The 20,766-nt window shown below is 40.1% G+C and overlaps 1 protein-coding gene across 4 annotated transcripts in view, besides 1 other annotated feature; it reads right to left on the bottom strand.

The window, feature by feature from the left end:
* Positions 1–2,067, bottom strand: part of DCC (DCC netrin 1 receptor) — a 1,195,703-nt gene extending 1,193,636 nt beyond the window's left edge. For all 4 annotated transcript variants that reach the window (NM_005215.4, XM_017025568.2, XM_017025569.2 and 1 more), the window contains exon 1: positions 1,386–2,067. In NM_005215.4, the coding sequence (NP_005206.2) occupies positions 1,386–1,476 (91 nt within the window). In that variant the 5' untranslated portion in view covers positions 1,477–2,067. The remainder of the gene's footprint in view (positions 1–1,385) is intronic.
* Positions 17,996–18,507: an enhancer, noted in NCBI's record as "OCT4-NANOG hESC enhancer chr18:49850127-49850638 (GRCh37/hg19 assembly coordinates)". NCBI's record gives its function as "activates a minimal SCP1, AML or CMV promoter by ChIP-STARR-seq in naive H9 embryonic stem cells {active_cell/tissue: H9 hESC(naive)}" and the evidence as "EXISTENCE:reporter gene assay evidence [ECO:0000049][PMID:30033119]".

Here is a 20,766-nt window from a genome sequence, read left to right as displayed (position 1 = left end):
TCCTGCCTGCTCTCTCTGTCTCTGGCCAAAGGAAGATGAGGAGCTGAGCCCGAGTGCAAGCGCAGATTCCTGCCCGCGTGCGGCCGAGCGAGGCTTTGGGGAGCCTCGGGCTGCCTTGGCGCTTGACTGTCTGAATCCCTCGCGACAGTGAGAGGCGCATTTTCTGCTCGCGTTCGCAACCCTTGGCCATGCAGCACTTAGCAGAGAAGAGAAAGCCGGAGCTGCGGACTCCGGGGAGGCTGGGGGCTTGGCCGCGATTGATGTGCCATTCCCTGTTAATTTCCCAGGCACGAACTGGGGAGCTCCTACTCAACGCCCGGTCTCTGCCTGAGCCTGTTTTTCCTTTGGATTTGGAAAAAGGTCGTTTCCGAAGGGCTCTCTGAATGCTCATCCAGCCGCTCTCCTCTCCTTCTTTGCCAGGACCGCTCACTGTACCCCAGTGCCCATCTACACTTGCGGTGAGGTCCCGCAAAACAAGTGGACCTTATCATGAGTCATTTTGCTCTTTTCTATTCTTTTGGCCGTCGAAGCCGCCAGCTCCGTATTCGGAGATTACAGCAGTCCTGATCAGCCAGCCTCCAGGTCCCTCTTTCTCCTGCACTAGCCAGATCCAATCCCCAAACAGTTTTGCCATTTTTAATTAGAAACTGAGCTAGGCAAGTGCCAGGGTCAGGGCGCCGGTTCTCTGGAATATCAATCACTTGGAGTTTGGAGGTGTCCTGGAGCTATATGGAGACTCAGCTTGCGAACTACATTCACCGTTAAAAAATAAAACAATATTAAACACACCTCCCCTCCTCCTTGGCAACTCTGTGCCTCCTTCAGTACCAGGATCCCCTCCTTGGAAGTACCAAAACATATTAGCTGTCCCTTTCCCTATTCTCAATCACCAAGTCCAAAAATCCAAACCAAAAGGAGATGTATTCACACACCAACGACTCAGCCCCACCATCTACATTCTGCGCAGACTTCCTCAAAGCCCCTGGATGTCCTCCTCGCCTGCTCCTGTTGCCCCAATCCTCCCCACTTGGTAGGTTTCTGGGGCTTTAAGGACCCAGCCCAGTTCCTTTCAACGATATCCCCAGCACCTGCCCCAGCCCGCCGGCTCTCCAAACCAACCCAAGTATTTGCAGAAGCAAAAATGCGTGAAGCATCAGATTTTAAAACAGCGAAGGGGCGCCCCTTGTACCACCCCCCCACCATCATCCGCCCCCAGGGAAGAAAAAAACTCTTCTATCTTTTATCATCGGTGCGCAAATGGGGGCAGCGCAAGCGCCAAATCTCTTGCTATCCCCCACCCCAATTCTACTACTCGCCAAATGAAATGAGAAGGGAAGTGGGGTACGGAAGGGGGTGCGACGAGAAGAAAGGAAAGAGCCACTTACCGGTTACTTGAAGATGCGCGCTGAACAAGGAAGCTCCGAAGAGTACAAAAGCCAGCTTGGGTACCCAAACACATCTAAGACTATTCTCCATATTTCAGCCAACACCTTCGGGGCCAGGGGTCGCGGGCAGCGGCAGCACTCACACACATGCACTCACACACGCATGCACACATGCACACACACGCGCCGAGCCCCTTCGGCTTCCTCCTCCTCCTCGTCCTCTTCCTCCACCTCTTTCTCCACCTCCCCTGCGCCTCTGCTGCCTTCGAAGCCTTTTTCCTTGTCCACTGACAGAATCAGCAGCAAAAGCAGGCAGCAAAAAGTTCCATTCGGTCCAAGAGATCCCGAGCCCCGGTAAAACCTTAGAAAACTAACTCAAGGAAACGGAGGGAGCCAGAGGAGGGAAGACAGCTCTCTGAGGGGCTCGCAAGTCATCAATAAACCACATCCAGGAGGGACCAAGAGGAGATGGAAGGCAATCCTGTGGCCGGGCTGTGCATTAAAAGGTTGAGGCTGGTTCCTTGTCGTCGGTTGGGTAAAGTTGAAGAGACAATTCCGCGCGAGAGCTGGAGATGCTGTTGGTTTTTCTTCCGAGAGCCGAGGGGACCCAGGGAGGAGAGGCGGGGGGGACTGCGGGGTGGAGCGCTCTCACTTGTTACTGGGGTGTCCGCCAGCGGTGTGCGAGCTGGGAGTTGGAACCGTACTACACATTGATCCGGAGAAGTGGAGGGCTGGAAGGGAAAATGTGGAGACCGGAGGGAAACGAACTGGATCAGGCAAAGATTCCACGGGAAGGGGGTGGGGGCAGACAGACTATGGCTTAGGGAAAAAAGAGCGGACCGAGGAGGCTTCCAGGAGCTGCATTTGCCTGGTCTGCGTATCAATGCGCAGGGATGCCCTCTGTGGGCAAAGCGTGGGAAGTCACTTTTGTCAATGGAGCCTGCGAACATCCTGAGCGTCTGGAGGTTTTGCAGCGACCGTGTTTGACACTCAGCCTTCAGGAAATTATTGGTATTTGACTGTAAAACCTAGGCGGGCGTTTAAGGCGGAGGAGGTGGCCAGGATGTTTACTTCCTTCTCTGCCCTTGGCATTATTTAAAATACAATTTTTCATTTGGAAAGAATCACCTGATCCAACTCCCTTCTAGGACGGGAGGGAAATCGAGATCCTGAAACACACAGCGGACAGGACAAAGGCCAGAGTTATTTCCTGACATAATAGCTAAGGGGCCTCCTTTTGTAGGACGTCTCATGTCGTCTGTGTTCTCTCTTCTCTCGCAATTGTTTTCTTTAACATATTTAAAAGCACTTATCATGTTCCAGGTGTTCTGTTGGCTCCCAGGAAATAGTTGGGACATCCAGTGAGACTCAGTCTCTATCCTCAAGGGGTTTGTGATCCGTCAGGAGAGAAGCTAAATGGATAATTATAAAGTATCGTGATAAATATGATGGTTCACGTAATGGAGGGGGTGCTCTGGGAAAACAAGAGAGACATTTCTCCAGTCCCTGGCAGATAAAGTGAAGCAACCATACACACGCGTGTGTGTGCACACACACACAAGCACACACACAGCAGGAAACTTAGGAAGGGTGAACAGTAAAGCCCTTTCAGGAAACTGTTTTAAGCTGAGTTCCTTTGCATAACTTGTCTCTGCTGCGGGAACTCAAGCTCCTTTGAGAAGAGAGAGGTTGTATGCCATCCATTTTTGCACTCCTCACAGATGCTAGCATAGAACTTGGAATTCTGCACATGCCAATACGTTTCTGCAGAATAAGTGAACTTACAAACCAATTAATTTGGCCGGGAAGGATAATGAATAGAAATGTCATTCTGGTAAAATTCTGTCGTTTAAGGAGATGTTCAGCTGTGGATTCAGACCATTCCTTACTAGATTCTTCCCCACCTGTTCTTGTCACCCTCCCATGCTCACCAGGCTGTGAGCAGAGAGAATGTGAACATCTATTTAAGAAGAAAGGCGTGAGGGAAAGCATGAAAAATCCAGGATAAAATCATCATCAGGGAAACTCCTATGATGCTGGAACTGGACAACAGTGTTTTAGATCCCTAGTCATGCCCATTCCTTCCTGTCCTGGAAAAGTTAAAATATGAAGTGCCTGTGTTCACTAAAGCAAAACCTTCTGAAATAGCTTACATGGATGGATTCTTTAGAATTGGATGAAACTCTTTGGTTACCCCCAAATTTCTTGAAACACTCAAAACTTCCATTAGCTGAGGTGAAGCCTCTAGTGGTTCAGGACTGGGTTCTACAGCAAGGGTTCTTAACTCAGTCCATGAATCTTCCCAGGAAGTCTCCACCAACAAAATTCAGGAAGTTTGTGAATATCCTGAAATTTTATGAAAAGTGATTGGCTTGTGTGAACATGCTGTTTAACTGGGAAGGGAATCTTTAGCTTTCAGTAAATGTATAAGGTGAGTTCAAGCCTGCCTCCCTGCCAAAATGATGTAAAGAACCATTGCATAAGATAGTAGGTATGAGGGAAGAGTTGCAACTTCTTCTCAAGACTAATGAAGTCCTGTATTTCCCATATCAGTAATAGGATGTCTTCAACAAGTGGGAGGGAGGGTAGGAAACCAAAAATGGTCCATGTTGCTCAGATCTGGATTTTTCTTCAAATTTATTTTAAGTTCATGGTACATGTGCAGGATATGCAGGTTTGTTACAGAGCTAAATGTGTGCCATGGTGGTTTGCTGCACAGATCATCCCATCGCCTAGGTATGAAGCTCAGCATCCATTAGCTATTCTTCCTAATGCTTTCCCTCCCCTCAGCCCCTCCCTCTGAGAGATCCCAGTGTGTTTTGTTCCCTCGCCATGTGTCCATGTGTTCTCATCATTTTGCTCCCACTTATAAGTGAGAACATTGTGGAAGACATTGTGGTTATTCCTCAAAGACTTAGAGGCAGAAATACCATTTGACCCAGCAATCTTGTTACTGGATATACACCCAAAAGAATGTAAATCATTCTATTATAAAGGTACATGCACACATATGTTCATTGCAGCACTATTCATAATAGCAAAGACATGGAATCATCCTAAATGCTCATCAATAATAGACCGGATAAAGAAAATGTGGTGTATATACACCACGGAATACTATGCAGCCATAAAAAGGAATGAAATCATGTCCTTCACAGGGATACAGATGAAGATGGAAAGCATTATCCTCAGCAAATTAATACAGAAACAGAAAACCAAATACCACTCAGATCTCCTTCAGCCTCACATAGCTGTTCTAGTGATCAAGTTACTCTTCACTATGGCCCTTGACCCCTGTACTGAGTAATCCAAGCCATCAGTCCACTGACTAATGGGCTTCTACAAAAGACCATTGACTTCTCTTCCTCTTAGATACTCATTTGGTTCCACAGCTAGCTTCTGAAAGTTGCTTGTATTCTCTTCCCCAATACTCTTTCCTTCATCTTAGATGACTCAGCTTGATTTTAGAGTATTCTCTTAGAAACAACTTTGCTATTTTCTGACTCACAGTTCAGTGATTTATACTTGAGAGACACTGCGTCTCCTCATCTCTCCTCTCAGAGGTATCAGGCCCACTTGCCACATAGCCTCTTACTAGGAAAACAAAAACAAAAAAAGAATATCAAAAGATCAGGCAGAAACAGGAGAGAAATGCGGGCCACAGCAAATAGTTTAGCATAGCTGATACTCTTCACATAGTATTTAAGACGTTTTGAAAGACCCCTTCTGAGGTTTAATCTGGTGATAGAATATACAGATGTCCAGACACACTTTTGAGTTCAGAAGGTGCATTAATCTGCACTTTCAGTTTTTTCAAATCACATATACTCTTAGTTATGTGTGTATTAGGGGTGGGGGTGTATGAGGAGCATTGATTTTCTGAGATTAGGCCAAGAAAATAAGACAAATTAAAAGTGTACAATTCCTTTCAGAACATCCATTTTGGAACTGCATTCTTGTCTTATTTTTATTCTGAAAATTAATTATCTGAATCTATTTTTGTTCTCCCAATATCATAATCTGACTTTCAATACTTTCTAAAACATATTTGAGAAATATATTTGCAAAACCAATAACACCTAGTCAAAAGGTATTATAAAGCTATGAATTTTATTACGTTGCAGATCAAATCACATGAATGTGACAATATAATAGTTCACCATTTAGTCATTTAAGAAAGCCAATTATTATATTAGACTTAGGCTATGTGCTATCTATATAGAATATACAAATATAAATATGATGTGGTCATTTGACATGGGCTAATTTACAATCATGGGGTGAAGTGGTATATTTTAGGTGATATTTGTGGGCTTTTGTTTTTGTTTTTTGTTTGCTTGCTTGTCTTCCTCCTAATCTCTTCTAACTTATTCTAATAACAGGTCTTACAGTTTGCTCTGAGGGTACTACTGCTCCACATTTCTCAACTACAAAATTGAGGTAATGGATCCTGAATCACTTTAGTCACGCAGAGTAGCCTGTCTTTCTGATCACGATGAGAAATTCAAAACTGAGCCCTCAGCCAATCAGAGTGAAGAAGACATTTTCTGGGGCTTGTTTGAAGGAGAAGCTTTGCGTCCCTCATGGAGGCACTGCTGGGAGTAATCCTTTTCCCCTCAGACTGTGGAAGAGTATGAGTTTCAATGAAGGGACTAATTTAAAAGAAATCTTGGTGCTTCCATCAGATCCCCATGAAGAACCTGTGGTAGGCAGAAAAATACCCTCCACCCCCTACCTCAAAATACCTACATCCGAATCGGCAAAACCTGTGAAAATGTGACTTTACATGATAAAAGGGATTTGCAAATGTTATAAAGTTAAGATCATAAGATGAGGCGATTATCTTTGATTACCCAATGTGCCCAGTGAAATCACAGGGGCCTTAGAAAATGGAAGAGAGAGACAGAAAGCCAGAGTTGGAGGAAGGGATGTGAGGGCAAAAGCAGAGGTCAGGGCACAGTGATGCCATTACTGGAAGGGTTCATGAGCCAAGGAATGCAGGCAGCCTCTGAAGGTTGGAGAAGGAAAAAAACCAGATGTTCACTGGAGCCTCTGTAGGGAACACAGTCCTACTGATATATTGATTTTGGCTTTGTAAAATCTTTACTTGAATATTTGACTGTAAGATAATAAATTTGTGTTGTTTGTGTTGTTTTCTGTCATTAAATTTGTGGTGGTTGATTGCAAGAGTAATAGAATGCTAGTATTGATTTTGGTTCCCTGGAGTGAGACGCTGCTGTAACAATACTTAAAATTGTCCAGGTGACATTGGAATTGGGAAACAGAAAAAATGCCTAGATTGCCTTGAATAGACTGTTAGTAAAATATGGACACTAAAGGCATTGATGATGAGGTCTCAGAAAAAAATGCAAAATGGGGTCCTTGTTATATAGTGGCAAAAATATTAGCACAGTTATTTCTTACTACTATGTGGAGTGCAGAACTTGCAAGTGATAAACTTGGATATTTGCTAAGATTTCCAAACAAAGTGTTGAAGATGTGATCAAATTTCTCCTTGCTGCTTATAGTAAAATATGATAAAGAGATAGACTGAGGGAAAAACTCTTTATATAAAAAGAAAACAACAGTACTTGATTTGGGAAATTATCAGCCTATTCAGATTATAAATCACACTGAAATTAGGAAATTTATGGTTAGGAACGCATACTGTGTAGAGAAAGTAAATAGTGTGTTGCTCATGCCTCACAAAGATCAAAAGATCAGAATATTCAGTCATGCAGTGGGTTTTTTGAGGAAATTAGGCATGTGACTCATGGATCCTCTCAGCTGTCTTGACAGAAGCCAGAAGTAAAGAAGAAGTTATGCAGGAAAGGCCTGTGGAAGAGTCTCCTCTCTAATAGAGTAAATACCCAAGACATATGTGGAAGACCAGCAAGCTTCTTGAGATTGTTATATCAGCAGAAACACTGCCAGATTGGACTCAAAGGGACAAAGAAGACAAAATGAAAGAAGGCTGCTAGATTTTTAAAATTCTACAGGCAGGAAAGAAGCTACGAGTACTCAGTTGCAAGTAGGTACTACCCTTATGAAAAAGAATGAAAGAAAAATAATTACAAGGTCAGAAATATGAACCTAGAGGGCAGAGCTCAGAGCCAAGAGGATGAAGACATAAACCACAGATAATTGTTCCCAAGACTTGAAAACTAATGTTTTTTTTTTTTTTTTGCCAAGCTGGATTTCAAAACTTCTTGGGACCAAGGATTCCTTTTATTTTCTTCTGACTTTCTTCCTTTTGAGAAGAAGTTTTGTAGCTGGCTTTGTGTGCTGTTACAACATTGTATTTTGAGATCATATAACTTGCTTTCTAGCTTCACAGGTCCATAGAAAAGAGGAAATCTTCCCCAGTATGGGTCATAGCCAGAGTCTTACCCATACCTGATTTAGATGATGTGATTTGGGTCCTTTGAGCTGCTAATGTGAGATTTTTTGGACTCTGAGTTGATGCTGTAATGGATTGAAACTTCTGGACATGCTGGGAAGGGATGAACGTAGTTTTCATGGGAAATCAATGCGAATCTATCAGGACTAGAAGGAAGACTGTGGAAAGGAAGATAACAGCCCTCCAAAGATGCCCACATCCAGATACTAGGCCAGACTGTTACCTGACACGGCAAAAGGGACTTTGTGATGTGATAAAGATGGATTTTGCAATGGGGAGATTATCTTGGATTATCTAGGAAGACCAATTACAATCATAAGCATCCTTAAAAGTTGAAAGAGAGAGGCAGAGTAAGAAAGGGATGTATGACAATGACAGCAGAAGTCAGAGTGATATCATTGCTCAAGAGGAACCACAAGCCACAGAATGCAAGCAGCCTCTAGAAGCTAGAGGAACAGGCTCTCCCCTGGAGCCTCTAGAAGGAGCACAGCCCTGTGAACACTTTGATTTTATAAGTAAAAGATGCATTTCCTGACTTCTGATCTCCAGAACTGTGAGATAATAAATTTGTTTTTGTTTTAAACCACAAATTTGGTAGCAATCTGTTATAGCAGCAACAAAAAAGCTAATACAGAACCTGAAAATGAAGTTGAAACTGTAGAATCAAAGTGAAGAAACAGAAAGAAACTGAGATTTTGGTTACATTATTTGGGTCATTGGAATAAGCCATCTAACCTAAAGCCATCCCTGCCTTTGGATTTCTCACTTATAGGGGTCAATTAATTCTTTTATTATTTAATCCAGGTTAAGGAGAATATATACATTTTACAACATGAAGCATTCTAATTAAACTAATTAAAAACAAGGATTCTATTTAATAAGTGCTTTTTCCCACTTTAAAATTTATGATTTTTTGTCCAGTGCCAGTTTTGCAACTGATTTTTGGTCAACAGACGTCTAATTCTGGGTGTGTGGCCATATGACAAGGAAGGAAAGGCTTCATTACTATCATTCATCAGCAAGCTTTTCTTAATGCCTAATATCAATATAAGAGAACAAGATGGTTGCATGGAAGAAAAAGAAAGAGTTCATCCTTTCAAGCAGCCTCCAATCTGAACAAAGAAAACAGGTGTATTTTTTGACCTATAATTTAAAACTCTATTTATGTAATAGCCTCCCCCAACAACAACAACAAAATACTGCAGTAGTTTAGAGACAGGAGGGAGTGAGGTGTTCAGGGATGACCTCTTGGAGATAATATAATAAGACTCAGTGGTCCTATTAATCTAGCAAAGAGTTTGAGGTGATAATGGGTATGTAAAATTCTGGAGTCTGAGACTAAATCAGCTAGATAGAAGAGGGTGATTTGTGTAGGGCATGGTAGGGGGAAAATCTCCAGCAAGGAAAGGGTCCTAGAGTGCTTATTCCAAAAATACCCAACCTTTCTTGCTTCAAATATGTATTTCCAAAGAGATGGCTGAATCACTTTTGTTAATCTTTAAGGAATAGGAGAGGCATTTGTGCCTTTTGAAAATAGGTTTCCTTGATTTTTTTTAATGGAAGGCTATAGTTATTTCTAACTACAGTCAAGTGAGCTTGAAATCTCTCTCAGACTGGAGATAAAAATTAATTATTTAAGACATGATTTATAAACACTTAGGAAAGGATGTAAGGCCACTGGGAGCCAGCATGGGTTCACTTAGAATAAATTATTGCAGATTGAAATGACTGAAAATTAACACAAAAAAAATCATATCTGGATTTTTACAAGTGTTTTGTATTATACTCATGGTATTGTTGTAAATACCTAAGTTAAATATGATCCAAACTATAATGAAGTGTGGTGAATCCCTACTACCAGAGTGTGTATTAATTGGTCAATATCAATTAACGCCCAGTTAAAAGATTATTCTCCTGTGACTTATCATAGTGCTCTGCTTCCCCTCGTCCCCATAGCAAATATTTTTAAACTGATACCTGGCATGGAGATATTAACATGCAGAATAAATTAGTTGGTGATAGAAAACTAGAAGGAATAACTATTATAATTGTCAGCACCATTAAAATTCAAAAAGATTTCAGCAGAATAGAACAATGAAATTAATCTAAAATCTCTAAATGAATGAAAATACTTGGAAAGGACTACACTTGGTAACTCCTCCAGACACCTACCCACTCCCAACAAAAAATCCCAATTCAGCAAGTGAGCAATAGGAAATAATAGGTTTGACTTCAAATGAGTGTGAAAAAATGTGAACATTTCGATTGTCTTTAAATTTGACAGAAGAAATTTATGTGTTGTATCCACTAAAAAACCCAATGCCATGTTATGTCACATTTGAGGTGATGGTGAACCCACGGTAGGGTGGTAAATACTCCTCTGTTTTGCACCGACAGTATACCCTGAGGTTCCCTGTTCAGAGAGAGCCTTCATTTCAAAACTGTATTTGCCCCTTTTGCTTTTTAAATTACCTCTTCTTTCTTTATTGCCCTGTAAATGTGGGTGCCTCCTGGTTGAGTTTAGAATTAAAATTAGTATGAGTCCTAGTAAATATATATTAATGTATCTTACATATATTTATTTAGTGTAATGTAACATATTACATTACGTATAATATGTAATGTATATGTTCAATGTAATATATATTTAATCATGTAATGTATTAATATTATACATTACTAATTTCACACTAACATTGTCTATTATATCATAATAGATTTTATATATAATATAGAGTTGCTTTAACCACTTGCAACTCTTTCCAAACCATTAAATATACAAACCTCTCTCTATATACATACATACATAGAATCCGCTCTCTATATAGAGAGAGAAACCTATCTCTCTATATATAGAGACATGTACACACATATGTATACATAGAGACATATACACATGCACATATATGTGTATATGTGTATGTGTGTATATACATATATATAGAGAGAGAAAGAGTTGCTTTAACCACTTGCAACTCTTTCCAAACCATTAAATATACATCTATCTGTGTGTGTATATATATATTATATATGTGTGTGTGTGTGCGTGTATATATATATATACACATACATATCTGTATGTATATTTAATGGTTTGGAAAGAATTGCAAGTTGTTAGAGCTCAACTCTGTGAGGAAGTAGGCCTGAGTGGAGAAACTAAGAAAATGGCTTTTTATGGTCATGTTAGTGGAAAGAGAAGAGGTGAGAATGTATGCCTAGTGACCACTCTGGGGATAGACTGAATTTCACATGGAATAGAAGAGAAACATGCTACCACCATTTACATGCCTATTATGTATCAGGCTGTATGCCAGGCACTTGACATATGTTATCTCTTTAATTCTCATAATAACCTTGTAAAGTATTTTCATTTGTATTCACAGATGAGAACCCTGAAACTAAGGGAGTTAAAATTGCCGGCCCAACATCACACACTTAAAAAGTAGAAGAGCTCATACTTGAGTAGGCACTACTCCACAGATGCCTATAATCCTGGCACTGCTGGTCAGGCTGCCCCCGGTTTATATAGGGAAGGGAGGCTGTCATAAGAAACAGCTCCTCAGAGAGACACCATCACTTCTCTGCAGCTAGCAATATCTTCCTTGGATATGGGCTGTATATTTAATTGTGTCATAGGCTATTATAAAAATTCCAGCTGAGCAACTCAACAAGAGTGCCCTGAAAGTGTCCTGGTAATGACTTGCAATGAGAAATGGTAAGGGAACTTTATCCTGGGCTCTAGATGGCGTTGGCTCAAAATACTCTATTGCAAACTTGTTGAAATGTCTGGGAGATACGAGCATTAGGAACCTGAATGGATATTCTTCACATCCTTCCAACCAGCAGTCCCCAACCTCCAGATGGCGGCCCACAGGAGAGCAGAGTTGGCAGTGTTTCAGTAATCATCTTCTACAAGTTATCTCCAGAAACATGGGTAGTTTCTTTTATAATAACCCATAGCAGTGGAGGAAAAAGCCTTATTGATTTCCAAAATGGGAAAGGAGATTTCCTTCTGTCTCAGAAAACAGCCAAAGAAAGTTCTTTTGCAAGTAGAAAAGTGTCATTTTTGCAGTTGAATACTCTTGAAAATTGGTACTTTTGCACCACTCTACTCCCCGGCACTGGGGGAATTCTCCTTCTGAGGCTGGGAAAACTGCTTCTGAAATAGCCTATTTGTTGCTACAGTGGTGAACTACGGAGGTTTAATTGAATAATTTCCTGTTTCTAGTTCCACCATGTGAAACATTGCAGAAGGCCTAACTGCTGGCTTTGATTCATAAGAAAACTTGTGATGTTTTTTCTTATATAACATGGGTTCTCTCAAGTCCACAGCACTGAGACACTTTTGAAGAAAAAAAAAAAGAGGAGACAAATCTATTTTTTTGAGGTGTGATAGTAAAGGAGGTGAGGGAAACTTGAAAAGCCTAGACAGGAAGACTGCACTGTATTGGAAAGGAAAAGGAATAGCTAAGACAACCGGAAAGAAATGATACTCCTAGGCTTCTGTAAAAGAAGGAGAACCCAAACCTTTACAATGTCATCATCACCAAACCAATAAAATCATTGAGATCTAATGTTCCGGAGGGTGAGACAAGAACATTTGCCTACTGATTTTTTAAACTAACACATTAAAATATAGGCACTTTAGTTTCTACACAAAATATTGCCCTTCCTCATGAACATATTGACTGCATCTCCAAATCTAATTAATTAGTAATTTTGTGTAGTTTCATGCTTACTTCGCAAAGTGTGAAAATATATTCTTTTAGAAATTGCTTTAAGTACTTTAAAATAAAAAGGCCAATGCTGTCATTGAGTTTACATTGTTTTCTCATGTATGAAAGATCACCTTCTCATCAACAGGAAATATATTCTAAAATATTTTCCTTGGGATGTTTGGCCTTTTCCCTGAAGAGGATGGAAGAATTCCCAATGCAAATATTTATTTAGATTTTTAATAATAATTTAAAAATAACAAAAGGAGGTAGGTTATCTGAAGATTGTACATCTATACAATGGACTAAGGTGTAAGCCTTAAAAATGATGCTATAGAAAAATGATGTGTTGACATACTTCGTAACATCTTAAATGAAAAAGTGAAAAACTATTCAAGTATCATACATTGTATGATCCTACTTTTATAATTAATATGCACACACACACACACAAATCTGACATAGTAGAAAGGGCAGGGGCTTTAAGATCAGCTAAACCTAAGTTCAAATCAATTATCTGTGCTATATGACTTTAGTCAAGTTAAAATCTCTGTGCCTCCATTTCTTCCTTTGTAAACGGGAACTTAAATATGCTCCAAGAGCCACTGTGCTTCCAACTTGTACTCTATACAATCTCTTCTCAATATAGCCAGATGATTTCTTTTTAAGTGTAAGTCAGATCAGATCACTCTGCTCAAAATCTTTCAGTGGTTCTACATCTTACTCCTCTCCCTCAAGTTCAATTTCATCTCCCTCAAAACTAAAATTCTTTACAGTGCCCCATGATGAATACAAACACTCACAGGACCTGCTCCTCCCTCTCTTTCACTCTGAATTTGACTCCTGTGTGTCCCCACTCAGTTTACTTCTCCAGCCACTGGCTTCCGGCTGTTCCTGGCCACACAGGGACCAACCCATCTCAGGGTCTTTGCACAAATTTCCTCTCACTGGAATATTCCTGGCCAGATAGCAAAGTGGCTTTTTTCTTAACTTCTTTGGGTCTTTGCTCAAACATTAATTCCTCTGGTAAGACTGTCCTGACCTCTTTTCTTACAGAAGGTACCAAAGAAGAAGTACAATCTTAAGTAAGAGAGTCAAGGAATCAGGGGATTATTTTTTGTTCTTGAATTTTTTTCTCTACCCCACCACTTTTGTTGGTTACTGCTAACCCATCTTCAGTTCTCAACTCACTTATTAATTCTTCAGAAAAACTATAGATGAAATTCTCTATTATAACCACTCATCTCTCCACGTGCCTCTCCTTTACTGCACTTATCACAAATGGCCATTTTACATAATTATATGTCTGTCTTTCTCACTAGAGTGTGAACATGATGAAAATATAGATTTTTGCTCACCATTATATTCCCAGCTGTAGTAATAATGACTGACATGTAATAGAAGTTCAATATGTACCTTGTTAAAGCAAAGTAAATACGGCCTGAGAAAGACCCCATACTTCTATATTTGAGTCCTTGTGGATGAATTGCAACCTAACTTAATAGGTAGATAAGATTGAAAACCCAACTTAAGAGTATGTTTCTGTAACAATAGCTTAGTCCTGGCCAATCCCAGCAGCCATACTTCAACCACTCATGCACTGCTGAGCATTTAAATTGTCTTCAAATAAGGTGAACACTGAGCTGTAACCAATCCAGTTGTTTCTGTACCTCACTTATGATTTCTATATTTCACTCCCTATTTCCCTTTTTATTGTCTATAAATTTGTTCTGACTACAAGGCATCCCTGGAGTCTCTCTGAATATGCTGTGATTCTGGGGGCTGCCTGAATTGCAAATCATTCATTGCTCAATGAAACTCCTTTAAATTTAATTTGGCTAAAGTTCTTCTCTAACCCTTTTTGAAGAAATGCCTATTTCTTCATTGCACACAGGAGCTTTGGAAAGAGAAGGTCCTATGATCCATGATTCAGGGGCCCAGCCATCTTTCAGTCTTGTCTCAGCAAACAGTTGTTACACCAAGAACAGGTCAAGTCAGAAAGAACAGTTCTAGTGTAGCATCCTGTGCCAAAGACATGTCTTGGCATTGAGACTTGGCACAGTGCAGTTCAAATCAATATGTGGAGGTCATTCATCACCAAATATTGGGCAGAGGATGTGACTGGACCGGAAGGTAGGAATCTACTTCTGAGATTAGGTATAGGCTGGGGGGACTCACACAAGAGAGAAATGGGAATGATTACATAAAATATGATGCTTTTTGTTCTCACTTTTAAGTGGGAGCCAAATGATGAGAATACATGGACACATAGAGGGGAACAACACACACAGTGTGGCCTTTTGGAGGGTGGAGGGTAGGAGGAAGGGGAGGATCAGGAAAAATAACTAATGGATACTACACTTAATACCTGGGTGATGAAATAATCTGTACAACAAACCCCTATGACACAAGTTTACCTACGTAACAAACCTGCACTTGTACCCCTGAACTTAAATAAAAGTTAAAAAAAAACACTCTTTCAATAAATACTTAAAGGCTCAATTCTTGGAGACTGTAAAGAAGATTATAAACACAAGTATTTGTATCTCTGCCCTTGGACTACTTCTACCTTTCATCCGTGTTTAATGTCTCCTATCTAGACTGTAAACAGGAAAACCAAGGAATTTAAAAAATAACGTAGTTAACTATAAAAATTGCTTTTGAATGTAGCCATTTAAATTGTTTATAATAGATTATTCATCAGATATTAAAATTCTTATTTAATCTAAGTGAAAATACCAGCTCTATATCTACACTATGATTTGCATTTTATAAAAATTACACAAATAGAAAAATTAGGATGAAGAATGACAAAATGGTACTCATAGATATCCCTGAGAAAAGAGCCGAGGAGTGTTATGTTTATTTCCTGTTCTTCTGAATGATAATTAACATGGAGTACTGTGACAATCAGGAAAATATGAAAATGTGGTATCATCTGTTGTTTTTACTGCTTGCATCCATTCATCCTTCTTCGCATGCTGAACTCTCATTTCTCAGTGTAGAAACAAGCCTTCTTCCTCCTCATCTCAGGCTGTTCTTTGGGTGTTTTCCCCAGCCATGAAGGTGTGTTAGGAATGTGACTATGACCCACCTGGAACCTGTGTGATGCACCGAGATTTTGCTGGAATGCTTGGACAGAGCATGAGGAGATTCCTGCTGGATTTGAGCTGAGAGGATTTCAGGCCTGGAGCTGCTGCTCTTTCTTTCAATGTAAGAAAAGAGTCTGTCTGAGGATGGGTCTCACATAGAGGGAGAAAATCACAGAGAGATAGAAAGAGTCCCAGTAACATTAAGCCTCTGATTAAGTTGAAGCAGAAGGTGATCATTTCCCTTGACTTTTAAGGTACTTGAGCTACCATAAGTTTTCTGTTTATTCCATTTTATCTGGATCTTCTTGAAATCAATAGAATCATGCATGATATGGGGAAATGTCCCTCTTTTTTTCATATCATGGGTGATGGTGACCAGGATGGGATAAACACAGGATGAGGAAGGCCTTTACAACTGCTAGGACTCTGACTACCACTTACCACAAAGGGTCTTTTGGCAATCTTCCCAGTTCTGAGAGATGAATTAGTCAGTCTGAATACAGCACTCAAAGGGCCAATGTTACAGCCCCATATCCTGTATCAGTCATTGCAGAGTTCACTGCATCAACAAACAGCAACCTATATTTACCCCCGAATAAAAGGTATTTCTGTAAATAATACCATTTTGCATTTCTCCAATAAGAAAATCCCTACTTTTTTTTTGGCTAATGTGAATATGAAAATCACTTTTAGGGATGTTGATAGAATAGTTAAATACTGCTTAAATGATTGGTTCATTTGGATTTATGTACACATTTTAAACCATATAAAGTATGCATAATATATTAATTTAGAAAAGTTATTTTCCACTCACATTTTAGCAGTTGTACTTATCCTCTTCACATGCATTCTTTTTTTTTTTTTTTTACTCTCACTCCAACATTATTTTATTTTATAATTCAGGGGGTACATGTGCAGGTTTGTTATGTGGGTATATTGTATGACACTGAGGTTTAGGATACAAATAATCCCATCACCCAGGTAGTGAATATAAAACCCAGGTTTTATGTGGTTTTCAGCCCAGATCCCTAACTCTCTCTCCTCCCTCTGGTACTCCCTAGTGTCTATTTTCACATGCATTCTTTTTTTTTTTTTTTTTTTTGAGGCGGAGATTCACTCTTTGTTGCCCAGGCTGGAGTGCAATGGCACGATCTCAGCTCACTGCAACCTCTGCCTCCTGGGTTCAAGTGATTCTCCTGCCTCAGCCTCCCACATAGCTGGGATTACATGCATGTGCCACCACGCCCGGCTAATTTTGTATTTTTAGTAGACACGGGGTTTCTCCATGTTGGTCAGGCTGGTCTCGAACTCCCGACCTCAGGTGATCCACCTCCCAAAGTGCTGGGATTACAGTTATGAGCCTCCACACCCGGCCAATTTCACATGCATTTTTAACATCAGCATCTGCATTCTTCACAGGAATTGTTTCCTAGTCACGTGTTCCACAGTTTTCCAGAACACATCACCTTCTCATTCTACTATGTTGAGATACAGCCATTTTGAATCTATACCCCAAACTACAAGTTGCCATTTTCACAAAATGTGGCAATTTTATTTCTCCATTCTTTCCATAGCTGTAGAACTGGTGTCTTCAAAGCCTAACTGCTTTCAGTATTATTTTTGTAAAATGATCATTAAAAATCTTGTTACGATGACCTCAAATACTTGCAATCTTGGGGTCATATCCTTAAGAATAATTACTAAATTCATACCAATTTTTTTTACCTTAAATAAAACTACATTAGGTGACCCATGTAAACATACAAAACTGTTATGAATTGAGATCAACACAAAGCTATTTTTTTCTGAAGGGTGCTTTGTTATTGACAATAAAGAAATAGAATAAATGACTCCTAGTATCTCCAAATACTGGATAAGAAATAACCTTCTAAGGGAAAAGACATCTTAACTTGAGGCATATGTAATATTTTGGGGTAGGATTACAAACAGCTAAAAAAATTGCTGTGTCTATATTCATAGCAATTCTGACAACAAATGTGTGGGTTTTCCATACTAAGCAATTCTGCAATTTTCTGTGGCCATCTACTGGGTGTCCTACAATTTAATTTAATTCTGACATTAACTACACAGAGTTAACACAGACCTTACAGATTAAGGGCTCAGTACCACAAGACTGCCCCCCACTTCAGATGCCAATCTTAAATAGTGGGCCCCCAGATTACCCACATTTTTGGCCAACTTGGCTACAAACCAGAGTTTCCCACAATCCCTTCTTCATGTTTGATAATTTGCTATGAGGCTCACAGAACTCAGGAAAACACTTTACTTATATTTACCCATTGATGATAAAGGCTATTAAAAAGAGCACAGATGCAGAGCCAGATGAAGAGGTACCTAGGGCAAGGTTTGGAAGGCCCTAAATGCAGGAACCTTTGTCTTCATGGAGTTGGGGTGCATCACCCTCCCAGCGCAGCAGTGAGTTCGGCAACCCAGGAGCTCTCCAAATCCCCCTTTTAAAGAGTTTTATGCAGGTTCCATGATGTAGGCATGATTGATTAAATCATTGATCATTGGCGGTTGACTCAATCTCAACCACCCTCCTCTCCCTGGAGGTGGAGGGGGTGAGTGGTTTGAAGTTCCAGCCCTCTAATCACATGGTTGGTTCTTCTGGTAACCAGACCACACTGTAAAGCTACGTAGAGAACCTAAGCCATTAGCCATCTCATTAGCATAAAAAAGACACTCTTCTCACTCTGGAGACTCCAGGGGTCTGAGAAGCTCTTGGGTTGGGAAAAAGGTATCCAGATGAAATATTTTAACAAAAGATGTTCCTGTCACCCCTATCACCCAGGAGTTACAGGGGTTTTAGAAGCTCTGTGCCAGGAATCAGGGGCAAAAGACCTTCTTACTATGTCACAACAACTTAAACATGATCTTCCAGGACTTTACAAAACTTTCTGTGTGGAGGGGAAAGCCAATGTACTGACAAGTGCAATTCAGTATGACAAGCCCTAAGACATGGGCAGTATAGTGCACCAAAAAGGCCAAACAGAGGACTGTGCTATCTGGACTCCAGAAAATCTGGGAAGGCTGCCCTAAAAAAGGAATACCTAAGTGGCCCCAAATAATGACTAAAGGTAAACGAAGAAATCATGTGTGGCAGATGGTGGTGGAGAAGTGAAAGGTGGATTACAGATCAGAGGGGAAAAGCAGAATGTGCCAAGCTGAGGGACTAGCATTCGCAAAAGCACAGGTCAGGGAAGCATTGCATCTTTTATGGTAAAACCCCGATCTTTCTCCTAAAAGATCAGACTTTTTTTGATTGTTTGGTTGGTTGCCATTGTTAATATATTTTAATATTTCCCTGTGTTGAGAGCTGCTGAGGACACTGTTGGCCAAATGGTCCCAATTTTTCCAGGCCCCAGGGTTTTCCAGGACAATATGGCATTTCCCTGCCAGATGGGGAAATGCTAGAAATAAGCGGCATTAATAAAAAGGGCCAAGTTCATGATCATTTTAAAAGCATATGAAATACCAAGATGCAAAATTCATTTTAAAGAGCCATGTTACTTAAGCCTTGCCAGTTCCGCTCTTGAGCAAGAGATGCCCCCACCCCTGGCTCTGCCCACAGGTCTGTACTGGTAATAGCTCAGGACACATCTGCTTAATGGGAGCTGAGATGTACTTCCCAAATTGGCACTCTCATTCAAAAATATTTTTTGAGTTTTTACTGTATATAGAGAATGATGCTAGATGTATATAAGATTCAAAATCAAACATATCACCAACTTTCTGCTAGTGGTAAGTTTATAGTCTAGGAAGGGCAAGATGCTGCTACATCGTGAATACCTTTAGTGCCAGACACGCACAGATGGCATATTAAGATGTGCTCTCTTGAATTATTTTCTAAGTGTTTCTTATACCCATTAGACTTTAACATTTTATCAATATATATACAATTAAAACTTTTGAAATATGAGAAGAAATCAAGTAAAACCCACAATTGTAGTGTGATTACCAATAAATTGTTTTTTAGACTTTGGTAGATCTAATTTGTTTAAAAAATACAAATAGAAGGGGTCAGAAGTTGAAATGACTGGATGCAAAGCCCCTGGCTTAGAGCTCTTCAAATCCTTTCTGCCTTAGGACAGAATTGGCCCCAGAGTCTGGGGCAGATGAGACCTTCAGGTTTTTGCTGAGTAGCTCTAATTCTCAAGGCTGAAGAGTTGCAAGTGCACAATCCCACACTGATTAATGAGTAATTTCCTTAAAAAACAAATATGACCTGAGACAGAGGAAGAGGAGCTGACCAGGGAGTCTAGAGATCTGGGATTTGGTCCACTTTGACCTTGGGCAAAGTAATTTATAAAATAAGAGAACTGACCACATCAGTGATTTCAGAACTGGGTTTCCCATTAGAGTCATTGGAGATGTTAACAATGCAGATTCATGGGCTCTATCCCATCCTTACTGAATCATTATCTTACTGAATATTATCTAAATATTTTCATACTTACTGAATCATTATGTCCATGAGGTGACATCAGAGCACCCACACTTTCATCAAGCTTCCCCAATACTTTTATAAAGGAAACCTATTACAGGGCCATTGGCCAATGGTTGGAAATAACTGAATTAGATGATCTCTAGCAATTTTACATTTTTCACATTCTGTAATCGTTCACGATTTTTTGTAAGTATGCCTAAGTGGAGGCTTAATAAGGACTGGTTTACTGGTTGATCAAAAAGCACCTGAGTTGGTAATTATTTCTGAAACAGTGAAGCCAGACATGCCGAAAATTAACCTTGACTTTCACAACTAGATGAATAAATGCCTTAGTGAGATAGACGTGGTTCTCATCATCGTTATGTAGCTCCCAGGCTGGTATCTTGCAAAAAGAGTGTTCAGCTAGTGTATTTTAGATGCACCTATTACCCTGCAAAGAGTGTAGCTGTAGTTGGCTAATTAAGGCGCTATTTACCAGTTGAATAAGAAATGTCAGTATGTACCTTGCTTTACAAGCACCTAATCTTAATCAGACCTTCACTGAGCTATTTCAAAAGCCCTGAGCTTCTCTGGTGAAAAAATCCCAGAGAAGAAAAGGAGGCAAGGTGAGACTATAGAGTAATAAGATGACTTATTAAAAATAAATAAATAAATAAATAAGCACATTACAACCTCACACCTAAATTATGTCGTACTAAATCAGCAA

This window comes from Homo sapiens, chromosome 18 (genome assembly GCF_000001405.40).
Source record: "Homo sapiens chromosome 18, GRCh38.p14 Primary Assembly".
Taxonomy (NCBI): domain Eukaryota; kingdom Metazoa; phylum Chordata; class Mammalia; order Primates; family Hominidae; genus Homo; species Homo sapiens.
The sequence above is the reverse complement of the archived record's forward strand: the minus strand, read 5'-3'. Positions and strand labels throughout refer to the sequence as shown.